This window comes from Homo sapiens, chromosome 3 (genome assembly GCF_000001405.40).
Source record: "Homo sapiens chromosome 3, GRCh38.p14 Primary Assembly".
NCBI classification, from domain to species: Eukaryota; Metazoa; Chordata; class Mammalia; order Primates; family Hominidae; genus Homo; species Homo sapiens.
The window spans coordinates 162,346,666-162,354,831 of NC_000003.12; the positions used below are offsets into that span (position 1 = coordinate 162,346,666).

Consider the following 8,166-nt stretch of genomic DNA (forward strand, 5'->3'; position numbering starts at 1 on the left):
TATTAGTAACTATTGAGTAATACAAATCAAACTACAAATCATAAATTGACAACAACAAAATAGAAGCCTTTTAATTGACATTTAATAATCACTATTACTTTAGAGGAATAGCCTTCTAAAAAGATGAACAATCTGCTTTTGTTCACAGATAATTTCCTAATTTTAGCTAGGATGACTTTTGCAGGAAATCCATTTCCTGCAGACTCTATTATTCCTTCTTTTCAGTCGGTGCATATACACAGTATATGCAAATAGGAAGATTTCTAACAGTCAGAACACTAGCAATGCAACTTCTTAACAATAACAGCCACAGACAAAATTTTAAATGGGCACATTTATGAAAAGGGTTCATACTGTTCAAGGTCCTCCTCTCTCCTTTTGGTGATCATTGTAGCTATTTATTTATGAGTTATGGGAAATGACAACTATGGTCTTAAACTTAATTTAGAAAGTATTTTAGTTGCCCAAAAAGAAATGGTTTATTCACAGATTGTTTTTAAAGTAAAAGGAAAATAGAAAAATTCTACTGAATTCTAGACAAAATTTAATGGAATTATGTCATTTAAAATGAAGTACTTTATAGCTTTTAATGAAGTGTCTTATCAGCCTTTTAAAATTCTGTTTCTGTGCTAGTTACCATTGAGTAATTTTATTTCATTCTTCCAAATTACCCTTTCATTTTTCCCAACCTGATTCTGTTCTTTATGAATTGAAAATCTCTGTCGAATAGTTTATTCTTACTATTTTCCCCTCATATTCTATGCTATAAAAAGCAGAGTTGGGCCAAACCAACTTTGGTTCTTTAGAGTGATATTTTGTAAGCCAGGATGCAGGTAGGATTATTGTCTTTAGGGCTGTTGATTTGCCACTTATTCTTTTCTTTAAAAATAACTTTATAATGAATTTTACACAATTATTTTAGTTGCTTAGTTTTACAAGGCATTAGCTACCCAAACTTTTACAGGAGTCTAAAGGTATGCCACAATATAGTTTTTGTAACTCCGCAGAGTTCCCTCTTGTATTATTTCCATGCAGTTTTTTTAATTCAAGTGGCAGTTTTTGAACAACCTTTTTAGAGCTCTCCTAGCTATTTCCTCTCCTTGCCCCTTTAATCTACATCTCCTCATTTATTTTCTCCATTGTGTCGTTGCTGCTCATTTTGGATTCAGTTCCCAGCAGGTTATCTTCACTGTGGGGTTTTGTCATGATGTTTGCTGGTGAAATTTAAAATGAATCTTTGAAGATGTAATCAAATTGAGATGATGTCATTACTGGATATGAACTGACCCCAAATCCAATGACTGGTGTCTTTTTAAGAGAAAGAGAGAGCAAGACGCAAAAGGGCCATGTGAAAATGGAGGCAGAAAGCTACAAGCCAATGGGTGCCAAAGACTGTTGGCAACTACCAGAGGGTACAAAAGGACAAGGAAGAAGTGTTTTGTAGAACCTCTTGAGGCAGCATGGCTCAGGTGACACCTTGATTTCAGATTTCTAGCCTCCAGAACTGTAAGAGAATACATTTCTGTTGTTTTAAAACACAGTTCATGGTAGTTTGTTATGGCAGCCCTAGAAAACTAACACAGAGCCCTTGTACATTTGACTGTAGCCTTTGACTTATTATTATAAAAATGCTATCATCAATGACAAAATCAATTCCACTTTAATATTATTACCACATTTGATCAAGAGAGGGAATATTATGTAAGACAAATGTGAAAGAGCATTGATGATATTTCTTGGGTTCCTGCTCTGTGCTAAGATCTGTGCTAAATGTTCTACACAGATTAGTTCATTTGCTATTCACAGCAACCTTATAAGGTACTAATCATTGTCATCCACCTTTTTATAGATGAAGTGTTTAAAAGATAGAGAGGTTTTGTTTTTCTCCTTAAAGCTAGTTGAATAGCAGAGCCATGATCAAATCTCAGTTCTGGCAAGCATTAAAGTCAGAGTTTGTGAACATCGTACAATAATAGCATTTCCTTCACAGCAGGCATTCAAAGATTATTAAAAAGGGAGATAATGTTGTTGTTAATCATGCTTAGAAGTTTAAAAACTAATATTTTATTCAAATAAATAATTTCCTAGAACCACAAGATTTGAAAGAGAGGCAGAAGTTTGTGGAACTTTGTCTGCTTGTGTTAATCACTCTCACTCCCTGCCTGCCCCTAGCACTTCTTCTCTGCAGCCCCACACAAACACTGGTCTTTGCAAAACACAGGTTAAAAACGGACGTCATCATTTTAGTGTAAGGCAAATGAGACTTACAGAGACAAATTGACTTTTCCACAAACGTTGTATCAGATCATGTCAGAGCTGAGATCAATGAATGTCCTGCTGTGAAGGAGAAGATGAGCCAATACTTTTACAGCATAATTGATATGGGCCATCTGGGCTTCAGATTTTTCTTATCACAGATAAAATAGGAAGCTCAGGCATTACAAAGCAAACTATCCCACAACTGTAGGCAGTACCATGAACAGCTGTGAGCAAAGTGCTTTTTATGAAATAACACAGATGTTCTTCATTACAAATATTACTGAGCCATTAAATGCCATTTTAAATAAAGATGATTTACAAAGGTAATAATTGATAGTGATTGAGGATGCACACATCTTGGCCGTGTATAAAATGCACTATCTTCTATACATTACTTATTAGGCCTGATAAAATACAGATTTCTTGAGCCTAATGAGAATGAGGTGAATTGGAACTAACTGCTGAAAGTTTTCTTTTACTTTCCTTGCATCTAATCATTGGAAAAATGAATTGACCTTAGGTGAGCATGAAAAATATTTCAAATTTTATTTTTGTCAAAACCCCTAAATATGTAAAGCTTTGAAATCTGGGTTTTGTAACAGTCTGGCTTCCCTAAGGCACATTAAGTTTTTCCAAGATCAATTAGTTTTAAATTTCACCTGATGAAAATGTGATAGCTGAAATGAGTTGCCCTAGTCTGCACTCCCGAATGTTAGACTATCTTTTATGATCCTATTTCTTGGAAATAAGATTGGGATAATAAATGGCCATAAAAGGATTAAAGCTAAACATTGAAAATTTTGAAAGAAACCAAAATAATTGGGGTCAATTGAGATATGTATTTAAATACAGAAACTTTTAATGCTCTCAATGTATCAAGCCATCAATCTGTAACCAGCAACCATTGATTGTCTCAGTTGCTAAGTCACTGATGTATACATTAAGCATTTTCTAATATGTCTATACCACCCTGAATTCCACTACATGGAAGATTCAAATAACTCTCTGGAATGATAACAGGAGAGGGAGGCCATTATACCATGTACATTAATAGCTTGTGCCTCAGGCTACAGGTGAGTCTGAAACAGCTTGATATCATGGTATAAAAATCAGTGCCATTGTAATAATTAGTTATTTTGACATTTCTTGCAAATTTCAGCCATATGACTCTCATATTTCTCAGTTCATAAGTAGACATTAACTGAACTGGAAACAGCTTGCACCTTTTCTTCAAAAATCTTAGCCCAGAGCTTCCATGCTCAGATCAATTTTTGAAAGTCCTGCCTTAAGTAGGCATAACCCTGTCTTGACTCTGAACCTAGATCCCTGCCTGATCTGATGGCAAATTAGAAACTTCTATACAAGTCAATGGGGTTTAGACAGAATCTTTTGCCTTAGTGCCCTGGGTTTACTCATAAGATATTTAAACATGCCTGGAGTACGACAGTACAAGTTTTAGAGGTCAACTTACGGAACATTTTTGTGACTGTGGGGCAGGCAAAGATTTCTTAAACAAGACACAAAAATAACCATAAATCTCAAAAAAGATAAATTGGATTATAATAAAATTAACAACTTTTTTTTTTTTTTTTGAGAGAGTCTCGCTCTGTCACCCAGGCTGGAGTGCAATGGCACAATGTCGGCTCACTGCAAGCTCTGCCTCCTGGGTTCATGCCATTCTCCTGCCTCAGCCTCCTAAGTAGCTGGGACTACAGGCGCCCACCACCATGCCCGGCTAATTTTTTGTATTTTTAGTAGAGACAGGGTTTCACCATGTTAGCCAGGATGGTCTCGATCGCCTGACATTGTGATCTGCCCACCTTAGCCTCCCAAAGTGCCCAGATTACAGATGTGAGACACTGCACCTGGCCCTAAAATTAACAACTTCTGTAATTAAAAAAAAAACATTAATAGTGTGAAAAAATAACACAGAGAGTAGGAAAAAATCTGCCTGAATGAAGGACTTATAATCTCGAATATATAAGGAATGCCTAAAAAATAAGAAAAAAATCTAACAATCTAATAGCAAAATGGGAAGAAAATGTGAAGACACCATAAAGAAAATAACCAAATGACCAATATAGATATAAAAAGGTGTCCCACTTCATTAGTCATTAAGAAATGCAAATCAAAATTCTAAGGTGAAGCCATTAGAATGGCTAAGATGAAAAAATACAAAATGTCAAGTGTGATGAAGATGTGTAGCCAAACCAAATTTTTCTACATTGCTGTGGATGTATTAATTACTACAGTGCCTTGGGAAAGCAGTTAATCACATTTACTAAGGCTGAGTTGCGTATTTCATGATGTAGCAATGCTGTATCAAGAAAAAACCCACAGAAATAGAAACAGGTATATATGCTTAACAAAAGACATGAGTTAGAATGTTTATAGTGCTACTATTCATAATTGTTTCACACTAGAAATTACCCATGTGACCATTAAGAAAAGAGTGAATAGATAAATTGCAGTATATTGACACATGGAGTAGTATTCAGCAATGAGAATTAATGACCTACAACTACACATGATAATATTCATGAATATTACAAAATACTTTTGAATTAGAAAAGCCAGAGGCAAAAGCATGCATACTGTATAATTTAATTTATAAAAATATAAGAATATTCAGATAAAACTAAAGTGTGCTTTTAAGGGGTGGCGTAAAAGGGACCTTAAGGAGATGGTAGTAGATAGAAGGCATCATTATACTGACATCTAGAACCCCAATGATGTTCTGTTTCTTGTTTTGGGTCCTGATGATGTAGGTGTGTTTAATTTGTTTAAAGTTATCAAACTGACGCAATATTTGCACTTTCATTTGTATTACACTTCAATAAAATGTTTAAAATATATATGTGTGAGATACTTAAAGGCAGGCTGTTTTTCCTATTCCTAATTTTACCTCTTATTTTCTGGACTAATTTGTCCATCTGTGGACCTTGGTTTCTGTTTATCAAACAGAGGTTCGTTCCAAAAAGCTAAGCTTATTGCTAAGAGCTCTCTCCATTCCTATGCAGTTTCTTTCTTCATCTAGCTCTGGATCCTGCCTTAATAAATATTGCACATCACTTTGATGGTGTTCTTTCACCAGATGTAAATAGCTATCACCAGTGACATAAAGCCCCTCCAGTCTTGACAATTTCTACTAGTTTCCTTTGTGGATACATGGGCACTGATGTCTGGACTGGCCAGGGGTTTTCTAAGCCCCTAGAGATTTAATGATTTGAGCTATTAATTAGTGCCAGAAAGGACTAGTTTTTATGAGTTTGGTGAGTTTATATTAGTCCTATCTAAGCCACCTCTGGGATATTCTTCCTTGTTCTCTTCTACTCACGCAGAAACACACCATTTATTCTTAAATTCCTATGAGAAAAGCCCCATTAGCCTATGTTATATAACTGAAAAGTTGTCTGATTAGGTTAGGTTTGGACTTTACATTTTGAGGCAGATAAAACTGGTTCCTATATGATTATTTAAAAGAAGTGAGGCTTTATAAATTCTATGATGTTGTAACAGTTGAGATTTAAGGTTTTATATAAAACATTTTTAGGTAGTATCAAATAAGAATAGAAATTTCTCCTTTTTTGATGACATGAAAAGTCAGTCTGTAGAAGAACAAAGTTTCAAAATCATGGGTGAATTATTCTGATAAGTTATCTTTCATAGTTCACCACATTTCCCATTCAATAGCTACTGAACATGCTGAATAGGATAGTTATTATCAGGGAATTACCTTATTCTTTTCTGGCCACTTCTTTCAAACATAGTTTATCAGATACTAATTCCCCACACATTTATTAAAATCTTGGGTAGATCTCATAACATTCTCTTCATTTTCAGACATCAAAATAACTTCATTTTCTGAAACTAGTATTTAAGGCAAGTCTTGTTCTCACATTTATTTCCAGTCTCCTCCTTGAACTCTCAGCTCACGCTTGATCTGCTTTTTTAGGACAAGAAGTAAGGGAGGATGTTGTAGTCTGTTTTGGACCTTCTTGTTTCTTTTAATTCTTCTCCTTGCACTCAGCTTTTGGCTAGTGCACAGTTGAGAAGAATAAGGGCAAACATCTCTGCACTTAGCTGATAGCTGTGATTTAGTATTAGCTGGTAAAAACTCTTTTTCAAAGCAAATGTTCTAGTTTTTGCTTTTCTGAGTAGTATTAGTAGTAGCTTCTTTCAAAGCCCTCTGAATTTCACTGGCCACTGATATGGCAATATGCTCTGTGACTGCATATTTGTCAACCCACAGCTGTTACCTTGTGATGAAATTCCATATAGATTCTTTTTTGCTGGCACTCTGTATTAATTTGGGATCTTTAAGGTGGTGAGTACCTTTTTAATGACTAAGAAAAACACAAGTTGAAAATTAAAATGTTTTTACTTACAGGCCCTGGAGGTACACACCATGCCATAATGGAGGTGGGTCAGCACCAGGAAAGAGAGGGATAACAATCTGTGAGCCAATGCTTTTATTGAGTCTGGGGCATTATCCAAACGGGGTTCCTGCAGCAAGTTTTAATGGGTGGGTTTGAAGCAAGGAGGCACAAGTTCCAGAAGGTCATGCTGTGACTGAAAGGTGGTTACTGTGAAAATACCTACACAGTCCATGAGGGGGTCAGTGAGGCTGCTCAAGTATGTTTTATCTAGCTGTCCCACAGACAGGTGGTCATGAAGAGGAAGTTGTATAAGGCAGTCGTGTAATACCACAATGAGGAACTGGCAGGGTTTGAGGGGGAGTGAGCTGAAGAGTTGAAAACTGTCTCATAGGTGACTGTGACCCACTTCTGGTATGAGAAAGTCCAACTTATACTCACAGTGGATGCCAAGGCAACACCATAATGATATGAATGCATTACAGACCCCTTTGTTCAATAGATGCTCCTTTTGGGCAGTGTCTTTTTATTATATGCCAATTCTGTCTTCCTTTGTGATATGCACTTAGCCTGAGAGAACCAAGGTACTTTTTTGTCACCAACACCAGGAGTGCAGCTTTCTCTCGTTACTGTTCTGTCTTTCTTGGCAGGCTTCCCAAGGTTGCTTCTTGTCAGAATGTTCTAGATAAAAGTTGTTACAGGTAACTATGTCCCACCTCCAACTTTTATATGTAATTTTCTCTCAAAGCGCTCTTGACTTCTGCTCTGGTGGCTGCTGTGGCCAAGCTGAAGCTTCAGCAGCTCCGTTAATATTTTTTTCAGGTTGTACGATATGCGCTTCCCCTTTAGCAAGCATCCACAGTCTCGGGGAGGGCTCTCTTGATGCCTCCATCACTTGCCTTGAGGTGTAGCAAAAGAGGGATAATCCCCATCATTGCCACTGTGGGGATCAAGCAGAAATTCTATAGCATTCTATACTTCTACCAATTATTTTACAACAGCCTCTCACACCACTCCTGTGACAATAAATCCTTACTATGCCTGATATATATATATATATATGGCTATTTATAGTTCTGCAAAAAAATTTTTAGATTATAAGTTCCTCTGACCAGACAATACTGCTGTAGAACACAATCCTAAAACCCTAGGATAGAGCAGGCTTAAGGTTCTTAAGGATGAGACACCTAAGTAATATGTTTGGCATTTGAGAATCTTCCAGACATTGCATTGTTGTTAGGTAAAAGAATGAAGTGGTTTTCTTTAAAAAATTGTAGTACTTTACATCTATGCTGAAGTACACTTCAAACACCAAATGGAATGTGTGTAGTAAAAATGATGCTTATTTAGTTTTCCAGCCATGAGTTAAACCATCTGTGTTTTGAGACACCCGCACTGGCTCTTCTCTGGACAAAATACCTAAAAATACAACTTATTAAATGATATATTACTTTTATTTCATTGTCCTGGGTGACATAATTGGTTAAAACATTTGCAATGCATTTTTAAGCAACTTGATCTAGAGCTAGGG

At 36.1% G+C, this 8,166-nt stretch overlaps 1 annotated feature.

Moving 5' to 3' along the window:
• Positions 3,084-3,253: an enhancer, noted in NCBI's record as "experimental_66071 CRE fragment used in MPRA reporter constructs". NCBI's record gives its function as "activates a minimal promoter by MPRAs in K562 erythroleukemia cells, with activity observed for both the introgressed and non-introgressed 3:162067622 variant alleles {active_cell/tissue: K562}" and the evidence as "EXISTENCE:reporter gene assay evidence [ECO:0000049][PMID:34662402]".